At 35.1% G+C, this 23,447-nt stretch overlaps 1 protein-coding gene across 11 annotated transcripts in view, besides 1 other annotated feature; it reads left to right on the top strand.

The window, feature by feature from the left end:
* ERBB4 (erb-b2 receptor tyrosine kinase 4) overlaps positions 1–23,447 on the top strand; it is a 1,163,086-nt gene that overhangs the window by 1,026,028 nt on the left and 113,611 nt on the right. The gene's annotated exons all lie outside the window — the stretch shown is intronic.
* Positions 13,719–14,223: an enhancer, noted in NCBI's record as "NANOG hESC enhancer chr2:212363277-212363781 (GRCh37/hg19 assembly coordinates)". NCBI's record gives its function as "activates a minimal SCP1, AML or CMV promoter by ChIP-STARR-seq in naive H9 embryonic stem cells {active_cell/tissue: H9 hESC(naive)}" and the evidence as "EXISTENCE:reporter gene assay evidence [ECO:0000049][PMID:30033119]".

Raw genomic sequence — 23,447 nt, 5'->3', positions numbered from 1 at the left:
CATGGCAGTGGGAGACCTGCTGGGATTGTTCTTACCAAGAACAATATGCCCTTTTAAAGAATTGTACTTTGAGTTTAACTGTTTTGTAAAAATTTAAAGACATAGAAATGAAAATGAAAAGCAAACGTGTTTTGCCTACTATTAAGAAAATGGCATTTTTTAATTGATTAGAAGGGGGAAATTTGTGTATGTTCAAAGATAGTTCCAAAAAGTTTTTTTTTTAATTTCATTGTGTTTGTTCACTTGTCAGAGGCAATAGTGATTTCTAATATAAATGTCTGAATATTTTTAGGAAGTTTCTTTCTATATAAAAATGCTTTTTTTTTTGAGATTTTGGTTTTTGTTCTTTGGAATAATAAACCAAGAGAACCTGTCTGCTCTGAAATCAGTGCTCTGTTGAGAGGACCCAAACTTTGATATTTATTTTAATTACAAAAGGTCTCCCAGAATGGTGCAATAAGATATAGGATGACATTAATGGTGGAAGGAAAAACCGCATGTCTATGTCTTACAAGTGGAACAGGTGATATTCAGTTCATACTCAGAGTTTCTCAAACTTCTGCCCTAAAATAGAAGATAAATGAGCGCACTTTCGTTCTTCAACTTGCAGTTCACAAGAGTCAGTGAAAGTTCCAAATTGAATGTTGCCAGTTTTTCCCAAGGATGTCTGCAAATTTTGAATTTCAAGTCCACAATATGGTTTATCATAAAAATAATGTCTTTAAACAATAATTTTAAAATTAAACCAATGCTGTGTGAATCTTCTTCCTGTCCACCCAATAGTTATGAGTACCCTCTGGTATACAATGTCTCCATGATTTATTTTCAGAAGCATGGGAATTTAGACCTTATTGTTCCATGTAAGTCTTGTGTTCTGCTTTTCAAATGACACCATTTTAAAGGATTATGGATCCAAGAGCTGATAACTAATCATCTCCTCACAAAACAATGGCGTAGGGGAAAAAGACATTTCTGAATATTTTAGTTTCAATGTTACCGTGGTTACAAGATACATTTCCTTTATTAACATAATCTTTTCTCTTTTTTTAATGCTTTTTCTCTCTAGAAAGGATTCTTTTTTGATATGATCACAATTAAACAATGGATTCTGAAATTGAACTGGCATTTATAGAAGCTGGTAACAATGTACAACAATTTTGCTTATCTGAAAAGCATACTGCTTTAAAGAAAATTTATAGATAGCTTTTCAAGGTTTGTCATTTCTTATTAGGGTTGATATGGCTCAAGTTTTGCTTTCTCAGGGTAACATCACAGAAATTTTCCATTAAATTATTCTCTTTCAGTAATACTCATGGTTCATTTTCATTTTTGTGTTACTTCTTAGAATATCAGTGTTGCTTTTGTGTAATATATCTGTCTGTATTTATTCAAGAACATGTATATAATCATGCTATGTAACACAATCATAATAACTAAAAATTTTGACATTGCTGTCAAATCACATTACCTATAATTAGCTTAACATATTTTTCAAGGTCCTATAATTGAAAAATACAATGCTAGATAATATTGAATATATAAGAAGGGATATATATCTATATATATGCTAAAAACTTAAGAGAATTTTTAATGTCACATTTAAATTACAGTGCATTCCATTTCTGTCTGGCCTTAAGTAGGCAGTTTAATATACTAATACATTGATTTGATAATTAACTTGGAGCTTATTAAGCTTGTAACTACTCCAATAAGCATTCTTACCTCTCTGTTTTTTTGGTTGTTGTTTTTTCATAATCCCTTGGTGCTTTTCATTTTTTTCATAATCTCTTGGTATATTAGGTTTAAACCATGGATCTTGTCTATTTTATACTGTGATCTTAAATTTTCAAAATTGTTGAATATTGTTTCAAGATATAAATATACTCTAGCAATGTCTAAAGCTACGTCAGGACAAAAGGAAAAATAAATGAGATTGTCATATTCTTTCAAAGAGAAGAGATTGCTAGCATCTCTGATCTCAGAAATTTCTGAGAAAAAAAATGGCAAGCTTCTGAATAAAATGCACAGTCATTGAAGCAATATCATAATACTAAAATGATGAAATGAGTAGAAAACTAATGACTTTTAATAATCATACAGCTTTTCAGAGAGAGATATATAATTGAAAACATTTTCTAATTTCAAGATAATCACATCTGAAAAGATCCATGAATTCTGAGTATTTTGAATGATAACTTCAAAAAAAGGTAAATATAGAACAGGGTTCATTTTAGTGCAACATTTTAGTAGGAATCATCTAAAGAGTCAATGGCACATGGCACTATGCTGTCTTCTGTTTTAAAAGAAATTTAGATTCAGGGGACACACATGCAGGTTTGTGACATGGATATATCACGTAATGGTGAGGTTTGGGCTTCTAGTTTAACCATCGCACTAAATAGTGAACTTTGTACCCAGTAAGTAATTTTTTAAAATCCATACCCTCCTCCCACCCTCTCCTCTTTTAGAGTGCCCCGTGTTTATTATTTCCATCTTTATGTGCATGAGTACCCATTGTTTAGCTGCCACTTATAAGTGAGAACATGTGGTACTTATTTTCTTTATCCAACCACCCATTGATGGTCAACTTAGGTTTAATTCCATGACTTTGCTATTGTGAATAGTATTGCAGTAAACATATAAGTGCAGGTATCTTTTTTGTATAATGCTTTCTTTTCCTTTGGGTAGATACCCAGTAGTAGATTGAATGGTAGTTCTATTTTTAGTTATTTGAGAAACCTCTGTGCTGTTTTCCATAGAGGTTTTATGAATTTAAATTCCCACTAACAGTGTAAAAGTGTTCCCTTTTCTCTTCAGCCTCAATAGCATCTGTTGTTTTTTGACTTTTATGAATAGCCATTCAGACTGATGTAAGATGATATTTCACTGCGGTTTTAATTTGTGTTTCTACAATGATTAGTGATGTTGGTCATTTTTTCATGTGTTTGCTGGCTGCTTGTATGTCTTCTTTCAAGCAAAGTCTGTTTCTGTCCTCTGCCCACTTTTTAATGGGTTTGGTTATTTTTCTTGTTGAGTTGTTTGAGTTCATTATAGTTTCTGGATATTACTCCTTTGTTGGAGGCATAATTTTTTAATATTCTCTCCCATTGTGTAGACTGTTTACTCTATTGATAGTTTCTTTTGCTGTGCAGAAGGTCTCTAGTTTAATTGTGGTCCCACTTACCATTTTTTGTTTTTGTTGTAATTACTTTTGGGGACTTGGTTTTAAATTCTTTGCCAAGGCTGATATCCAGAATGGTATTTCCTAGATTTTTTTGCTAGGATTTCTTTAGTTTGAGGTCTTACATTTAAATTTTTAATCCATCTTGAGTTACGTTTTGTATATTTAGAAAGATAGGGGTCCAGTTTCATTTTTCTGAATATGGCTAGCCAGTTATCCCAGTTTTATTTGTTTATTTATTTATTTTGCTTTAAGTTCTGGGATACATGTACAGAATGTGCAGGTTTGTTATGTAAGTATACATGTGTCATGTTGGTTTGCTGCACCTATCAACCCATCATCTAGGTTTTAAGCCTCCCAAGAATTAGTATTTGTCCTAATCCTCTCCCTCCCCTTGTCCCCCACTCCCCGACAGGCTCTGGTGCGTGATACTCCCCCCTCCCTGTGTCCATGTCTTCTCATTGTTCAACTCCCACTTATGAGTGAGAACATGCGGTGTTTGGTTTTCTGTTCCTGTGATAGTTTGCTGAGAGTGATGGCTTCCAGCTTCATCCATGTCCCTGCAAAGGACATGAACCCATTCTTTTTATGGCTGCATAGTATTCCATGCTGTATATGTGACACATTTTCTTTTTTTTGTTTTGTTTTTTTGTTTGTTTGTTTTTTGAGACAGTCTCGCTCTGTCACCCAGGCTGGAGTGCAGTGGCACGATCTCAGCTCACTGCAAGCTCCGCCTCCTGGGTTCACTCCATTCTCCTGCCTCAGCCTCCTGAGTAGCTGGGACTACAGGTGCCATGTGCCACATTTTCTTTATCCAGTCTATCACTGATGGGCGTTTGGGTTGGCTCCAAGTCTTTGCAATTGTAAATAGTAATACACATATGTATGCATGTGACCTTATAGTAGAATACACATATGTGTGCATGTGACTTTATAGTAGAATGATTTATCATCCTTTGGGTATATACCCAGTAATGGGATTGCTGGGTCAAATGGTATTTCTGGTTCTAGATCTTTGATGAATCGCCACACTGTCTTCCACAGTGGTTGAACTAATTTGCACTCCCACCAGTAGTGTAAAAGCATTCCTATTTCTCCAAATCCTCTCCGGCATCTGTTGTTTCCTGACTTTTTAATAATCACCATTCTAACTGGTGTGAGATGGTATCTCATTGCAGTTTTTATTTGCATTTCTCTAATGACCAGTGATGATGATCTTTTTTTCATATGTTTGTTGGCTGCAAAATGTCTTTTTTTGAGAAATGTCTGTTCATATCCTTCGCCCACTTTTTGATGGGGTTGTTTTTTTCTCGTAAATTTAAGTTCCTTGTAGATTCTGGATATTAGACCTTTGTCTGATGGGTGGATTGCAAAGATTTTCTCCCATTCTGTAGGTTGTCTGTTCACTCTGATGATAGTTTCTTTTGCTGTGCAGAAGCTCTTTAGTTTGATTAGATCCCATTTGTCAATTTTGGGTTTTGTTGCAATTGCTTTTTGTGTTTTAGTCATGAAGTCTTTGCCCATGCCTATGTCCTGAATGGTATTGCCTAGGTTTTCTTCTAGGGTTTTTATGATTTAGGGTTTTACATTTAAGTCTTTAATCCATCTTGAGTTAATTTGTGTATAAGGTGTAAGGAAAGGGTCCAGTTTCAGTTTTCTGCATATGGCTAGCCAGTTTTCCCAGAACCTTTTATTAAATAGGGAATCCTTTCTCCATTGCTTGTTTTTGTCAGGTTTGTCAAAGATCAGATGGTTGTAGATGTGTTGTGTTATTTATGAGGTCTCTATTCTGTTCCATTGGTCTATATATCTGTTTTGTTACCACTACCATGCTGTTTTGGTTACTGTAGCCTTATAGTATAGTTTGAAGTCAGGTAGTGTGATGCCTCCAGCTTTGCTCTTTTTGCTTAGGATTGCCCAGCATCATTTATTGAATAGGAAGTCCTGTCCTCATTGCTTATTTTTGTCAACTTTGTCAGAGATCAGATGGCTGTAGGTATGTGGGATTATTTCTGGGTTCTCTATTCTGTTTAACTGGTCTATGTATCTGTTTTTCTTCCTGTACCATGCTGTTTTTGTTACTGTAGCCTTATAGCATAGCTTGAAGTTGGGCAATGTGATGCCTCCTGCTTTGTTCTTTATAAATAGCCTGAATAGCCAAAGCAATTGGCCTGTAGTTTTCTCTTTTTCTTGTATCCTTGCCTGATATGGGTTTCAGGGTTTTATTTGTTTTGTAGAATGAGTCAGGCAGGAATTCCTCATCCTTGATTTTTCAGAGTAATTTCAGTAGGACAGGTACTAGCTCTTCTTTGTAAGTCTGACAAAATTCAGCTATGAATCCATCTGGTCCTGGGCTTTTATTGATGAAAGATGTTTTTTATTACTGATTTAGTTTCATCACTTATTGTTTGTCCGTTTAGGATTTCTTTTCCTTCCTGGTTCAATCTCGGGAGGTTGTATGTTTCCAGAAATTCATCCATTTCATCTAGATTTTCTAGTTTGTGTGCATAGACATGTTCATAGTTAATCTCTGATCGTATTTTACAGTTGAGGTATCAATTGTGATGTCTCCTTTATCATTTCTGGTTGTGCTTATTTGAATATTTTTCTTCGTTAAACTAGCTAGCAGTCTAATGACTTCATTTAGCCTTTCAAAAAACAAACTTCATTTTTTGGATCCCTTGTATTGATTTTTTTGGTCTCAATCTCATTTAGTTCTGCTCTAATTTTTGTTTCTTTTATTCTGCTAGCTTTGGGGTTGGAAGTGTGACATTATATTTGAGATTTTTCTGTCTTTTAGATGGAGTTTTTTAAACATTATACACTTTCCTCTTAGCAATACTTTTGCTACATCTCAGAAGTTTTAGTATGTTGTGTCTCTGTTTTCATTTGTTTCAATTTTTTTAATTTCTGCTTTATTGTTGTTGTTTACCCAAAAGTCATTCAGAAATAAGTTGTTTAGTTTCCATGTACTTTTGTAATATTGAGTTATTCTTGGTATTCAGTTCTAATTCTGTTCCACCATGATACAGAAACTTGATATGGTTTCAATTTTCGAATTCATTAAGACTTGCCTTATTGCCAAGCATATGATCAGTTTTAAAGAATGTTCCATGTTCAGATGAAAGAAAAAAAAGGATACTCTGTGGTTGTTGGAAAGAGTGTTTTATAAATGTCTATTAGGTCCATTTGGTCTAGAGTCCAGTTTAGGTACAGAGTTTTCTTGTTAACTTTCTGCCTCCATGACCTGTCCAGTGTTATCAATGGGATGTTGAAGTCCCCCATTATTATTGGATTACTGTCAATTTTTTCTTGGGTCTAGTAGCATTTGTTTTATGAATCTGGGTGCTCCAGTGTTGGGTGCTATATTTGGGATACTTAAATCTTACTGTATTGCACTCTTTATTGTTATATAATGCCCTTTGTCTTATTTTACTGTTGTTGATTTAAAGTCTAAGAATGGCTACTCCTGCTTACTATTGTTTTCCACTTACATGATATATCTTTTTCTACCCCTTTACTTTAAGTCTGTTAGGTGTCCTAGCCATTAGACGGTTCTCTTATAAGCTGCAGATGGTTGGGTCTTGTTTCTTTAATCCAGTTTACCTGTCTATAACTTTTTTTTTTTTTTTTTGAGATGGAGTCTCGCTCTATCGCCCAGGCTGGAGTGCAGTGGTGCGATCTTGGCTCACTGCAAGCTCTGCCTCCCAGGTTCATGCCATTCTCCTGCCTCAGCCTCCTGAGTAGCTGGGATTATAGGCACCCACTACCACGCCTAGCTAATTTTTTGTATTTTTAGTAGAGACGGGGTTTCACCGTGTTAGCCAGGATGGTTTTGATCTCCTGACCTCGTGATCCACCCGCCTCTGCCTCCCAAAGTGCTGGGATTACAGGCGTGAGCCACCATGCCCAGCCCCTGTCTATAACTTTTAAGTGAAGCATTTAGGCTGTTTACATTCTTTGTTAATGTTGATATGTGACGTTTTGTTCCTGTCATAGTTTGTTTGTTTGTTTGTTTGTTTGCTAGTTGCCTTGAGGTCTCAAGTGTGTTATTACTTTATAGGCTCTGAGATTTCTACTTACATGTTTTTTTTTTATGATGGTGAGTATCATTCTTTCATTTTCGTGTTTAGAATTCCTTTGAACATAAGTTGTTGGGCCAGTCTAGTGATAGCAATTCCCTTAGTGTTTGCTTGCCTGAGAAAGTCTATATTTCTTCACTTATGAAGCTTAATTTAGCAGGATATGAGATTCTTGGCTGATTTTTTTTTTCTTTTTTCTTTTTAAAGAGGTTAAAAAATAGTTCCACAGTCTCTTCTGGCTTATAAGATTTCTGCTGAGAAATTTGTTGTTAGTCTGAGGGAATTTTCTTTAGAGGTGATTTGACACTTCTCTCTAGCTGCCTTTAAAATTTTTTCTTTTATATTGAGCTTGGATAGTCTGATGACTATACACCTTGGTAATGTTCATCTTATATAGTATCTTCCAGGTGTTCTGTGAATCTCTTGTATCTGGATATCTGAATCTCTAGCAAGATTGTGGAAATCTTTCTGAATTATTCCTTCTAATATGTTTTCCAAACTTGTTACCTTTTCATCTTCTCCCTCAAGAATGTTTTTAAGTCTTCAGTTTGGTTGCTTTTCATATGCTATATTTCTCAAATGCTTTGCTTGTTTTTAAAAATTATTTTATTTTTGTCTAGCTGGGTTGATTTGAAAACTAGTCTTCAAGTTCTGACATTCCTTTTTCTGCTTTGTCTCATCTATTGTTGAAGCTTTCAACTGTGTTTTAAAATCCTTTCAGTGAATTTTCATGTCCAGAAGTTCTCTTTGGCTTTTCAAAAATATATTTATCTCTACTTTCATCTTCTGAATTGTTTCTTGAATTCTTTGTGTTGGTTTTCAACTTTCTCTTGGAGCTCATTGGTCTTCCTTGCAATCCATATCTTGAATTCTTTATCTGTCTTTTTGAAGTTTTCATTTTGGTTAGGATCCATTGCTAGAGAGCTAGTGTGGTCCTTTGGGAGTGTCACAACATTTTGTTTCTTCACGGTGCTAGAGTTCCTGTGCTGGTTGCTTATCATCTGTAGAAACTGTTACATCTTAGTTTTGAATTTACTTTCATTTGGGTGAGTTTTTTTTTTTTCTTCCCCACTTTGAGGGTTTAGCTGTTGCACATGTTGGGTAGGGTCTTTTGGCTTTGCTTCTATGTACTATTAGAGGGCCAAGGTTCTGTATGAATTATTTGGTTATAGATAGCCTTAGTCTAGTGGTTTTTTCAAATGCTCATTGTTTGTAGGTTTTAGTAGTGGTGTGCTGTGCATATTATCTGGCTCACTGTCTAGTACAGAGGATGGAGATGTGGTGATCTTGGGAGCCTTATCTTATTTCTCAGTACTGTGCACTTCTGTCTGCAGAAATTATATATTGGGTAGTGCAATTTATCCTACTGGCTAGTAGGTGGCACTTGCAGGTAAGAACCAGCTGAGCACTGTACAATGATGTTAGCAGAAGTTGCAAATGGCCCTGCAGTTTGACCTCCCAGCCAGTAGGTGGCAGTTGCAGGTGAGAGGCAATTGCAGTGATGACAGTGGGATTTTTACTTTGTCTTTGTTGATCAGGGCAAGCTCCAGGATGTTCCAGGTTATGGGCAGAGCATGGGACTCTCAGGAAAGGGTGGGATCAATCTAGCAATCCTGCAACCAGGCTCTCTAAGGCATGTGCAAGCACTGGCCTTCACAGGGGTCTGAGGGTTCCTCCCAGTCCACTGAGACAACCCTCCAGGCAGAGGAGGAAGCACCTCTCCTAAGCCACAGAGCCTTCTCAGGGAAAGAGTGGTGACCTGATGTTTTCAGCCCAGCAGTCGGCCACTGGACTCACCCAGCTTCCATACCTGCCAGCAAGTGGATCTCCTTCCAGCATCCAGCCCAAGAAGCAGGCCTGACCCGTTAGGCTAATTCTGAGCCACCTGTGCCCAAGGCGCTATGCGGGTCCAGATGTTTTGAACTGTGAGTCCCTGAAGCAGAAATTGCAACTATCTTGTCACACCATTCCTGATCTGGACTAGGAGGAACTGCTCCAAGACTGCCAACAAACCACTCAGGCAGATCAATGTGGGGTATGCTGTGGGTCTCCCATTGCGGTAACAACCAGGCTGGCAGTCTTGGGAGAAACTGGCGGGCCTGGGGACATGTGGTTCAGATGCTCCTCAGTTCCCAAACAGTGCTGGTGGGACCCATCTTGGGCATGTGAATGTGGCCAGCTCAGTTCTATCCTGGCTCGGCAGACAGCAGGAGCTGCAGCCGCTTAGGGCATGATGCAGAATTTTGCAGGGTGGGTGCCCAGAGTCATGTTTTGCTGCAGCTGCCCAGCTCACTGAAGCCTTTTGGGGTCCACTTTGGTTTAAACGGTCTCTCTGTATTCTCTAGGCCCAAAGGTCTGCGAGGGTGGTGGGAACTTCTGTAACTAGGGTCTCAGAGGATTGCAGTGGGAATGTGGTGTCCCAGAGTTTCTTCATTCATCCATTCCTCAGGTCTAGTCTGGCTCCAGGGGCTGATCTTGGCAACTAGTGAGGCCAAGCAAGTAGCCATGCTTCCTCCCTCTTCAACCACGGTGTCCTCCATTGCCTCTCTATTAAGTTTCAGTGTCTTCTTTCAATAAATCTGTTTGAAGTCCAAGGCTTACCTGATACTGTGACTCTTCTTCATGAAGGAGGTGCATCCCAGCTGCACCTAGTCATCCATCTCTAATCCTAATGATCTTCTTATTCAGGAAAAATGTCAGAAATATGCCTGAGAAACTCCAAGAAGTTTTACACAAGGCATTTATAAAGCTAGAGATTTTCCATAGATTATAAATCCTTAAATGAGCCATCAAAGATGGCTGTAATCAATATCATCACATTGTACTCTACATTTATACATTTTCATGAATCTAATTATGGTTTCTAGATATAAAGAATATGAGAAAACACAGTAGAACTCTCTAAGTCTGTAGGCTTTCAACTTTCCAAGTTATAGAGGGAGATATGAGCTCTGTAGCACACTCATGTTCATGGAGGCCTTGCTTCGTTCAATAGTAATGCATCCTTAAAATAGCAGATTGCTTTATAATACAGTTTTATTAATTAGGTGGGCTAATAGGTAATTGAATGTTTATAATCTGAAGTTAAGAGTAATCAATATGAAATAATTAATAACCTTTGAGACAGATTCAGAAACTGTTATCCACTCAATATATTAGCTTTCTGTTACATTACCCTAATTTGAGTATATAAAATGTCAAGAATAGGCTTCCTTTGCATTGTTAAATGATATCTTCTTCCCAAATTTGTTTGTTAGAAGCCATAGAAGTATGTTATGAGCACATGCAAACTCTCCAAACTATTGTCGTTGCATATCTCATACACAGGTGGAATTTGAAGTGCCAAAGGCCTTTATGAAGAACATTAAAGTGACTACACTGTCCAGAAAGTTTATTCAATCTGCTTGCTGTAATATCCCAATATTCCACCATTTTGAACTCATTTCTTTGGCTGTAAGCAGGGATCCAAAACAAATTTTACAAATAAGCTATCTAGCTGTTATCGATACTAAGAAGAGTTTGATTCATTTTACATTTCAGGTAGGGGAAAAGTATATGGAGGAACAACAAATATAGCCAAGTCGTTAATAAATGCTCTGGGAGATTTAATGTGGCCTCACACTGCTCAAGCCCATGAAGGCATTGCTTTATAACAGCAGAATAGAGTAACTGATGTTCATAAAAGTGACCCTGAATTAACAATATAAAATGTTAGGTCAGATTTTATATATTGTATTTAATAGTGAAAGCTATAGAATACATTTTAGAGAAATTGTAATAGCACAATTAAAAGTAAGTTAAATTATTATTTTTGGAAGACCTGAGGTTATATGCATTGTAATTTTGTCTTGATATTGTGTTAGATAAATACAATATGTTCATATGTACTTAAGCATCCATATGTATATACATTCAGAAACAGGACTAAAGATAATTATAAAACAACAATATCTTATTGTTTTCTAAAAAAAACACACAAGCAAATCAAATGTCTTGATTTATGCTGTTTTTTTTAATTTTTATGGATACATAACAATTGTACATATTTATGGGATACATGTGATATTTTGATACAAGCATATAATATGGGTAATGATCAAATCAAGTAGTTGGGGTATCCATAATCTCAAACATTTATCATTTATTTGTGTTAGGACCATTCCAATTTCATTCCTCTAGTTATTTTGAAATATACAATAAATTATTGTTAGTTATGGTAGCCCTATTGTGGTAGTAAATATTAGATCTTATTCCATCTAAATATATTTTTGTACCCATTAACCAACCCTTCTTATGCTGTTTATTTTATAAATCTTTCTTCTGTGAGGGAAGTTTGCTTTTTAATAAACTCCTTTTTAAATGAGGTATATAAATGCTTCCTTCCCTTTTACCTTTTTTAGTAGATACTTATCTTTTTATTTATTTTTATAGTCAGCCTCTTGTAAATTAACTAGGTAATGTTCTTAATGGAATTGCACATAATGAACAAACAATGGCCTTCCAATGACATATGTATGTCAAATCTTACTAAAGTAATGAGAGAAAATAAACTTGAAGAGAAAAGAAAAATGTTTCTTTTTGAAATGTAAGACCATTACTGTTATTCAGTCACAACCTTTAATTTCACTAATGCCAAACCTATTATACCAAAGGAGTCACTCTTTTAAAAATAGAATAATTAGAATGACCTGGCAAACCAGTGCTCTCAGTGTGAGATATGTACAAACACCATTCTCAAAATTTAGCTTTCAAAAAATTGTGGAAGAAGCACTAACCCACAAAAAAAACCAGTTTGGAAATGCTAACTATAACTTACATATAGAATATTAAAAGAAAAAAGATCTTTTCTTATTCTCAACAACTGTGACTCTTTGGATGTTTCATTTTCATTTCGTAAAAGTGACCTAAAAAGCATGGGCTCCATAATTCAGTGATAAACTAATGATTATGAAGAAGCAGTTTGATCATTTGAGTGGAATGGAAATTGACTTTACATTACATTTTTAATGGGTTAGATTCATATTTTTGTAGAATCAAACCTATTAATACATGAAAGTTTAAATAAATTATCTTGACTGTGGCAACTAAGTCAGTTTTCAATCAAATGACCTATTTTAGGAGTTTTCTTCCTCAGTAAATAAGCTTCAGACTATTACCTAGAGCTCTCCTAAATTGCTATTCTAGCTATAAAGCAGTGAGAATTTTAAAAATGTCTGTTGCTATTTATAGTCCAGTGGCTATATTGTGTCAAATATTTGAATAAGTAATGTGGCTTAAATTATACCCTTTTAAATGGCTATAAATTAGAACAAAATGATGAATACAATTATAATTGTGTCATTATAAAACTTAGGGTCAGAGCAGACGACTGTACCATGACCAGATACAGAAAATAAATCCTAAATATTTTCAAAGACCATTTCATCTCCATCAGTCTCACTTCACACTTTCATATGTTTGGTTGTTTCAGGTAGTGAAGATGCCATTGTTCAACTAGAGGGGCTAGTGATTGTCATCACTCACTAGTAGGGTACATCATTATGCATTTCTTTAGTATTCTCTTGTCATCTACATGCAGGATAGTCACAGTGCCTACGTTTCAGAAATATCACACATTCCTACATTTCTTGAGATGAGATATTGAGGTTGAAGCCAAAAAAAAACTTTTCTCAAAACCAAGTTTATAACTGCACCACCTTGGTTTGGGAACAGTTTATATAGTCTCAGAAATAGAACTTTTTGGGGGTATCTTCACCTAGAAAGAGCAAAGCAAAATACCCTATTGTTAAAATTCTGATGCTTATGAGTGAAGTCCCTCTTACACTTACACATTTTGGTGATCTCAAAGTCCAAATATATTGTTTCTATCTGTGGAATAACCAACTCATCTGAGCTCTGTTGCTTAGTATGTGTGTACAGTATTTAAGATCTGTAAGTCACAGTTTTCTTTTTTTTGTTTGTTTGTTTGCTTTGTTTTGTTTTGTTTTTCTGAGACAGAGTCTCGCTCTGTTGCCAGGCTGGAGTGCAGTGGCGCTATCTCGGCTCACTGCAACCTCCTTCTCCTGGGTTCAAACAATTCCCCTGCCTCAGCCTCTCGAGTAGCTGGAACGACAGGCACACACCACCACACCCAGCTAATTTTTTGTATTTTAGTAGAGATGGGGTTTCACCATGTTGTCCAGGATGGTCTCGATCTCCTGACCTCGTGATCCACCTGCCTCAGCCTCCCAAAGTGCTGGGATTACAAGCGTGAGCCACGGCACCCGGCCTGAGTCACAGTTTTCTCATCTCTAAAATGGGCAGCACATCTATAAAAAGGGAGTTTAAGTATAAAAGGCAACTGGCCCAGAACCTAGCACTTAATAAAAGGGAGGAATATTGAGTATGAGGAGGAATGATGAGTGTGTTTGCTTATTCATTCCAGAACTCATCAAAGATTGATTGCATGCTTACTCAGCACTAGGCTCTGTGCTAGCGCTGGAGTTACACAGGAGAATGTAACAGGTGAGGCTACTGTCTTCGTGGAGCCTCATTATAACCCATTGTTGGGCAATTCCCTTCTGTTCCTCATCTGTGTCCCTGAGGGAAGCATCAGCAGTTATACCTTGTCAGCAGGTGCATTCTTACTTACTTTTGTGCCACTAATAATGGTTTCTGATTATATTTCTAATGGTGGTAGTGCTTTAGTTCACATTACACAGCTTCCTAGCTTCTGTCTCTCAGCCTTCAAGACTGCCCTATGCATATGGCCTCTTTGTCAATTGTAATGGTAATATGACTGAATGAAAAGGATTATTGTAGGAATGACCCCGTTTTTAGTTTCCTGCTGAGGAGTTTGGAAAATATGAGAAAAGCTCTTTGATGAAGAATTTGGAATTTTTACTATGGAGTCAATTGTTACTCCTTATGATGTTTGAAAAAATGGTCCTAAAGCAAAGCATTTATGTAACATAATGTGTATTTAACAACAGCCTAGAATTTTGATGAATGGGAAATTAGTACAATATATTGGCAGTGATGATATTTAGAAATAATTATAAGCAGCTTGTTCTGATAAGATTTGTTAATATTACATTTATACATTCATGTTTTGTATATAGATATATATAAAACTTTAATGTACCAAAGTCAAACAAATAATTAGTTTAATGACAGAGAAATAAACAAGTAACTCTTCTAGTGTAATATTTCCAATTCTGTATCCTTTAGGGGTGTTGAATACCTAGAATAGGACACTCATTCTATGTAACGAGAGGGCATACTGAAGACTTTAGCACAAATTAGAACACTGATAGTTATAGAAGTTCCTAGGTTGAAAGAAGTCAACATACCATATTGTGGAGAGACCACTGTAGACTTAGAATACTAAAAAGCAGTGAGAGACACAGAAGTCTCTCACTAAGGGAATGAGAAGGGTTTCATGTGGTGCTCCACATGGAGTGCTGGCATCTTCTTTATTAAAAACATGCAGGTCTCTTGGTGATAGTACACAATGCAGCGACCCATGGATGAACTATTGGCAGAACCTTGCACATTATATTTCTTTCATCATACATCTTTCATCTTGCCGCTGAACAACTTGAACGTAGAGGCTTTTGAAGTTTCCTCTTGTCTGTGTTTTCTAGTTAGACAAAAATAGATGCTATGTGAAAAATTAAGCAACTTTACATTATTCTGCCTTTCAGACCCAGACATTTATACAGTGTGGGTAGCAAGGTATATTTTATTTACTTTTTCAAATATATGGACCATCCATGAAATAAATAATGTCTCATAAGAGCCTCATCCTTTCATTAAAAATACTATTCTTCATCCTTTTATTCCCTATAGCATATTCAATCACTTGTAGCAAGTCCTGTCAATTTTTCTTGCCTTAAACTCAATGTATGTGCCTGTTTCCTTTGTGTGGTACTGTTCTCTTAGAAAACTTTTTTATAATGTGCTTCACTTCCCTGGGCATCTCTGTTGAAGTAAGTGATGCCCTTATTCATCCTCACACGTCTTATTTTCCTATCAGTGATTTTTTTTATAGGTTGCCAGTACAAGTAGATATGTAATTCAACAAATATTGAATGCCTACCATGTGTCAGAAACTGTCAGAGGCACTGGGACTATAGTGTTTATTCTGTACTTTTGAAAGTACTTAGAAATATGAAGGAATAGAATGTAAAAGCAAGTACAAAATGTTACACTTTGCCACTATTATATGCTCATCTTTGTTTTTTTAACTCGTGTTTGCATCTTTTTGGTTTAAAAACCTGTATTTCTTAAGAATTATTAAAATACAAAGTTTGAGTTATGGAAATAATACATGCCAAAAATTGGTCAAAACATATATTTAATTATAATTTAGATTTTGCCATTTTTATAACAACATTTATATTATGTAAGTAAGTAATAAGTCTAATTCTGCTCATGCATGCATTCAATAAATATTTATTAAGTGCCTACTATACCAGGACTATTCTAGGTGCTAGGGACATACTGGGGGTACACAGCAGACAAATGCATTCTTCCTTCTTGGAGTTTATGTTTGAGGTAGGAGACAAACCATAAACATATAGGAAAAAAGAGTATGAAATGTCAGGGATGTGTGTGTGTATATAATATCAGATTGCCTGGCCGTAATGGCATCACTGAGAATACTTGACAAAAGGCATGAAGAAAGTAGGGGAGATAGAAACGTGATTGTTTGGAGGATAACCCAGGCAAAAGAAACAAGTATAAACCAAGGCCCTGAGGCAGAAATATTTCTGGCATATTGGAGGCTCACCAAAGATAATCATGGCCACCATCTTAATAGAAAATCTTTGGCTTCTGTATTAAGATTAGGCTATAGGGGAGGAGGGTAGAACTAAGGCAGAAATACCAGTAATCAAATAATTGAGGTGAGAGATGATATGGTAACCTGTGTCAGGGTAGTAGTATTATGGGTGCTTAAGAAGTAGTCATCATTTGGATTTTTTTTTTTTTAGGAGAAATTTGAGAAGAAGGTATGTGATGTTAGAGAAAGAGAATTTTCAAGTATGGTACCGATCAATGGTTATGACCTGATAACTGGAAGAATGGTGTTGCTATTAACATATAGAAAGAACTAGTGCATAGCCTGATTTGGCAGAGATTATTAGGAGCACAGATTTGCACACATAACATATTAGAGGCTCAAACAGAAGTGTCAAGTAGGGAACTGTATATAGGGGTCTATTTATGGGAGTGGTTCAACAGGAACTACACATTTAGGACTCATGGGCATTTAGGTGGTACTTAAAACCTAGAAACAGTATATAGTGACATAGGGAGGGACTACATAAAAAAGAGAAAAAGTTCAAATACTCAAAATTAGGAAGTCCAAATTAGGATGATAGAGAGATAAGGAAGAACCAGCAAAAGACACTGAGAAGGAGCTGTCTGAAAGGTAGGAGGAAAACTGGACTGAATCAAATGTAAATCAAATGTTTCAAGAAGGAGAGAATGATCAACTATGTCAGTGCTGTTGATGGGTCAAATAGATGAGAACTTAAAAGGGATCAACATATTTATCAGTATGGAGATTATTTTTGATCATAGAAATAGAAGAGGACAACCCTACGTTTTTAGCATGTTATATAGGTTTCTCTTTAAGATATAAATGATATTATGTTTGTGAATATAAATTTGTAATTGTATACATTTATAATAATAATTATTAATACTGTATATTAATTAAAATCTGTTCTGGCTAAGATTATTTACAAGTTAGTTCATTTTCTCTGATTATTTTTAGAACTGCTTAATCCATTTTAATGAAAATGATTTTAAATGTTAATGTCCATCTGTGGGTGGTACTTTATTTGCGTTGTCTTCTGGCATGGACTGATGTGTGCCTAGTAGAGAGGAAAATATATTTTGTTCCTAGCTTATATTAGAGAGATTCAAATATCAGACAAGGCGTAACAGTGATATTATGAGGTTACAAGAAGGTTAATGCTATTTAGACAGATGGTGAATTGCCAATTCAACCTGTTGTCACAATAATGAGTATGTGAAAAAGCATCAGTGTTGCAGATAGGAGAAAAATGAAATAGTTGTTTTTACATATCCTTATACAAATTTATTAACAGCTCTCTCATAAGAGAAGAGTTATTCTACACAAAAGGCGAATTATTATGTTCTCATTTATTAGTCATTATAAGAAATAATATTTTTATTATATTCAGTCTATCTTTAACAATTATTTTGATATGATTTTTCCAGGCACAATGGCTTAAACACTTAATCTAAAAATATTTTGCTGTTTTACATATAATTTTCAATGTATTGTTATATTAAACAATCTTTTTTATCTCTAAGAACAGATTTCATAGCTCTTCTTACTCCTTGTCCAATAAGTGTAGTTTCTATGAAGACATTTAAGTTATACTTTTTTTTGCTACTTTTTCCCCATTTTTGCTAATATATTTCATAGCCTAAATCTCCCAAAACAAGTACTAAGATATTCTTTTATTCAAGAATTTAGACAATATGATTATTCAGTTTTCTAAAGAAAGATGATATTTAAAAATTCTATATAACCAGCTATGTCCCAATGCTTTGAGATGTTTTTCTCCTATTTTGAAGATTACCATAAATTTTGGCATATTTCCTATTAGGAAACACAGTTCGTTTCCTAAAACAATTCCCAAGGAGGTGCACAGTGAATCCTGGTTCACATGAGATGACTGGCAGATGAACAGCTGCCCTCTGAAAGCAGCCAATTAAATAACATGCAGCTTTGAAGCTGTCACTTGAAAATATTGAGGCTTATCTAAACTAACAAGTGATTGAAAACTCACAACAAACGCCTTTTAAAAGGGAATCATACAGGCTTCTTTCAAAATTTCAGAGAATCATTAGGTGGCAAGTAGGTAATTATTTCTGAGAAGTCTTCTTTATCATGTAGAGATTCCTCAAAAAGCATATCAAGAAGAAAAGAAAGACGGGCAGCTGCCTAGAACTCAGTTACAGACTGGCTATGCACTATCAAAACAGAGTGAAGTCAAAGGGAAATAATAATGCTGCATTTTGTATTATTTCAAATTAGTTTAAAAAGTAAACTTTTATTTGGTGTTCATGTTTACTGCTGTGGCATTTTTTTTAGCATTAGAACTTCACTCTTACTTGTTTCAGAGCTGAGCTAATACATTTTAATGATGTTGTTAGCAACATTTCTAGTACTCAAAACAGGGAGTCCGGCGGGGTGCGGTGGCTCACGCCTATAATCTCAGCACTTTCGGAGGCCGAGGCAGGCGGATCACCTGAGGTCAGGAGTTTGAGACCATCCTGGGCAATATGGTGAAACCCTATCTCTACTAAAAATACAAAAATTAGCTGGGCGTGTTAGCACTTGCCTGTAGTCACAGCTACTTGAGAGACTGAAGCCCAAGAATTGTTTGAACCCAGGAGGCAGAGGTTGTAGTGAGCCGAGATCGCACCGCTGCACTCCAGCCTGGGCAACGCTATGTTGGGGAAATAAGGCTGGGTAGCCCAAAATTGACCATGTTGGGAGTATTTACATCATGCAAATCAGCAAATGCTATAAATTAGGGTCTTTATTTTTAGAAATCTGGCTTTTCAGAACATCATAGGTCAGGATGAGGCCAGGCAGTTTGTGTTTTTATCAGATTCTGAGATGACACTGATGCCATTTGGAGACCATAGTTTGGAAAAACAATGGAGTTAGGGAAGCATGTAATATTGCCAGAAATACTTTTGATTTATTAACCTAGTTAACATCTTGAGCTTTTTAAAAGTAGAACTTCTCTGAAAAGTGATTGTTTCCTTGTTTCTTAAGATTTAATTGTAATGAAGAAAAAATATATATTTCAAATCATCTATAATATACTTTCTATGATTATGTGGCTTAAATTGAATGAGATAATGTAACCATAAACTGCTATGCAAAGGTGTTTTTTTTTGTTTTTGTTTTTGTTTTTTGTATTTTAAGTTTGGTTATTCATTGTGTCTTAGTTTCTCAGAATCCCAAATAACTTTTGCTTTGTATGCTATATAAAAATTATTTCTTAAGAGATTTTTAGTAATGAGTCTTTTTTCCCCAACCTGTGAGTAGTACATTTATCCAGGCCAGATGTTAATTGCAACATTACAGGTTAAGAAAGGAAATAGGGTAGTGAAAGGAAGGCACTTTATTGTTTTGTCTGTTCAATATATTAAATTGGGCATTTTTGCCCTCAATTAGTTTTCTATCTAGAAAAGAAAATAAATTAGGAATTTGTTTTAAAGATGTTGGATGTATAAAAATAAGAAAAGTATGGTATAAATAATTGAGAGGGAAGTTTCAAATGCTGTAACTGTAGAAATTTGAAGGAAAAAAATGGTTCGAAGCAACTACAATGGAAAGCTGGTTGATAATCTCTCAAATTACGTAATAGTTTGGCATTCATTATCCATAATCTAGCCTCACAAGAGTGACTCCATCTCTCTGGGCCAACTTAAATTAATTGAAATCATTAATGACATATAAAACCTGAGTGCCAATTGTTAATTTATAAAACCTATTATCAGGCAGCCTGGAATGCTAGTTTCTGCATGATTAGCAATTTCTCTAGCTGGAGATAAATTTATTTGGAAAGTCGAACTTAGTGACTTGATCATCCTTAGGAAACAAGGATCAGAACCAAAGAAGCCAGCTGATGTGTTGAGTTAGCAGTGGATCTGATTAGAACAGCTTGATTTTATTTCTAATGTTATTATTACCGCAATAGTTACTGATTATTGCTATGCTATTACTTATATCAGTTGTTGTGACTCAAGATATAGTTTGACAGTGTGAATGGAGGTTAAGAGAGGGGACTCAAAGGTCTCATAATGTACTTTTGAGTCTGTTTTTTAAAATTGTTGTTGTGCTTATTGTTTTCTATTTCTTGCTGAGCAGGTACAAACTTATTTTGCCCATCATTATTTTACCTACTTTTGTAGACTCTACCTCACAGGTTTTTCATCGGCATTAAATGAGAGTATTTATGCAAAATACCTAGAATAGTGCCAGCCACATAATAAGTCCTCAGTGGTAGGTAGATTATTATATTACCTCATTTAATCCTCACAATAAACTGTTTTATTAGCTTAATCTTACAGATAAGGAAAATGAAACTTATAAATGCAGTACTTCATCCAAGACTTTACTAGAAGTGGCAGGGCCAAGGGCCAAGATTTAAACTTTGCCATCTATATATTACTCCAAAACCTGAATGCTCCCCCCAAAATCAGAATAACTGAATTAATTAGTGAAGACTTCTTCTTACCTTGAAAGTGCTTAGAGGCACACTGCCAATATTTTCACTGAAACTACTTTTGTTCCAGGCTCCCAAGGCAGTCTAGCCTTCTGACTGACACATCTCTTTAGCTGGTAAATATATCCTATTCAGTTTAAAACAAACTCACTTGCTTAATTCTTTTTTTTTTTCTTAAGGTGAGTTTGCACGTCTTTGCTGTGATACAGTATGTCCTGAATTAGCCACTGTGTGATGGGCATCTTCATGTTCATGCTGGAATACATAATGGAGGATCCTATGTACCAACAATAACAATGTATTTGTAAAAAATAGTCTGTAGTTCTCCCTGTCTCAAGCTTTGAATCCCCAGACTTTAACATTATCATTACCATTAAATATTTATCAAGTTCTTACTGGATATATGACCCAAATGAGGCAGAAATGATGTGGGGAAATAAAACAAGAATGATGTTTCTGCAAACAATTAACATTTCAAACGTTTCCATTGATCTCATTCATGATTTATTTTAAAAAGTCAAAATAATTTGAGGATTCAGTTTACTTTCTAAAGGCTCTAATTTTGTTTTAAATTTACTTCCTAATTACCATTCCTAAGAACTTTATAATTTATTATTTATAACATAATTACCAAACCAACATAGTTTCCTTATCATAGTAGGTGTTCAATCAATATTTAATGATGTACGTAGTTTTATAATTAGAATGGAGTTCTAAAACATAATAAATTGATACCCTAAATATTTATTAAATGTATTAACCACTTATGAGCATTTTCAATAAATATTAGCCTTATTGAAATGAATTGTGATGTCCATTTGTAATGTTCAATTGTAATGCCCAGGAATTGTCATGTCCAATTAAAGAATCCTCAACTTGAGGCAGGAGATATTGATACCTATCCTGATTCTGCCCTGATTTTGTTACTTCATCTCCCTAGACCTTATTTCTTTATCCATGAAACAAAATGATTGCATAAAATGCCCTTTGAGACTTCGTACATTTCTAAAATTTGGTTTGTGCTAAACCACTTGAAAGAAAAAAATCCCTTACAATAAATTTCCACCAAACCATTAAGATCAGTTTTTCAGAATCAGTCTTTGATAAATCTTCCCTTTTATGTCAACATTTTGTGTCCTAGAAGTATAAACATTATCACCTGATGAATTAAGAGACTTCACAAATCCCACAGGATATCCTGAAATAGACAGCATCGCATTAGGATCCTAGCAGGGTCTCTGGTGAATATAGATTTCAGAATGAGGAGTCTCATCTATCCAACAGCACATATTAAATTAACAACTCCTGAAACATCACACAGTTTCATGTTCTTAAATCTATACACAACTGAGGCAAACAATAATATGCTTGCATATGTGATTATGTAATACTTTTCTTGAGAACAAACAACATCAAAGATGTCTCTTTCTTCCCCACTCTATTTAATAGAACTGTACTGCCAATTAGGATGCAAAGCTGTAAGAGGGCAATAAGGGAAAGAAAATGCAGTTTGTCTACAGCACACTTTCGTAACTCCTTTTAGTTCTCCCATACTTCTTCGTCTCACAAACCATAGGCAATGAGACTTACTCACTTTCCTGAGTTGGTGTTAATCCTCCAGCCTGGGCCCAATGCTTCACCTCTCCATAGCTTCTGAAAGTCTCTCTCTAGGTCGCTCATGATTTACAATAGGTGAGTTATATAAACTCATTATCTTTCTACTTTTAATTAAGTCATCCATTTATTGAATTTTTACTACTAGTGAAATACCTTGAATTACCACTAGTGAAATACGTTGAATGCTGCTGGCATTCAACAGGAAACAAAGAGCCACCCCTGCTTCCATGGAGCTTGTCTAGTGGGAAAGAAAGGCTATCAAGGAAAAAATGCATAAATTCAATATATAACTTATTTAGGCTAAATGCTATAAAGAAAGAAATAATGAGTTTCATGAGAGAGTCTAATGGTAACAATGAATAGACGTATAATACATAGACATAGTTCAGAAGAATTTTCCCTGGGAATGGATCTGAAAGATGAGTAAAAATTAGTCAACTGCAATGTGAGGAGAATATTAATTCCAAGAATGGGCATATTTTAGGAAAAGATGTTTTATATCTTTACCCAATGAAGACCAAACTAGCCAAATGCTATGTGAAGCTTCTTTAATAAGAGCTTAATCCCATTCACATAGGAGGACCCCTCATGGCCTAATCACCTCTTAAAGCCTCCACACACCTTAATACAATCACACTGGCCACACCTAAATTTTAGAGGAGACACATTCAAGCTATAGTAGCCAGATAGCTTCTATTTTCTCAGTAACACTTATTGCATGATTTTTTCATTTACTATAAACTTTTAAAAGTCAAGACTTTATATATCTTGATCACTATTTATATCTCCTTGATGTGATGGAGAGTTGGTCCTCAAAATATATTAGCTGAATAAATGAATGAATGAATGAATGAATACATTAGTACTGCATAGCTTCCTTTCATATGCTATTTGTCATGTTGTACAATATACATATGAATGCAGTTGAAATATTAAATCAATACCTTCATATTCACTTTTACCTTTAATTTTATGAGTAATGAGGATTTTATATAATTTGTATAATTTTACTTAAATAATTAAATTGTTGACATTATATAATGATAAATTGCTTGACAATGGCTACTAAACAGAAAATGAACATAGCTATTAATACAAGGCAACCAACAACCATATTTTTATAATAACTATAATAGCCAGCATTTAGTATTGTTCAAAGTTTTTTACGTTTAATTCATATGATTCTCTCGACAACACTTTGAGATTGGTATTATTGTTATCCCAAATTTGCAATTGAGGAAGCCGCCTAAAGTCATATGCCTATTAAGTAACAGAGACAGGATTCAAACCCAGACATTC

Source organism: Homo sapiens, chromosome 2, assembly GCF_000001405.40.
Source record: "Homo sapiens chromosome 2, GRCh38.p14 Primary Assembly".
Lineage (NCBI taxonomy): Eukaryota > Metazoa > Chordata > Mammalia > Primates > Hominidae > Homo > Homo sapiens.
Note: the sequence above shows the minus strand (reverse complement) of the source record. Positions and strands in the feature narration are given on the sequence as shown.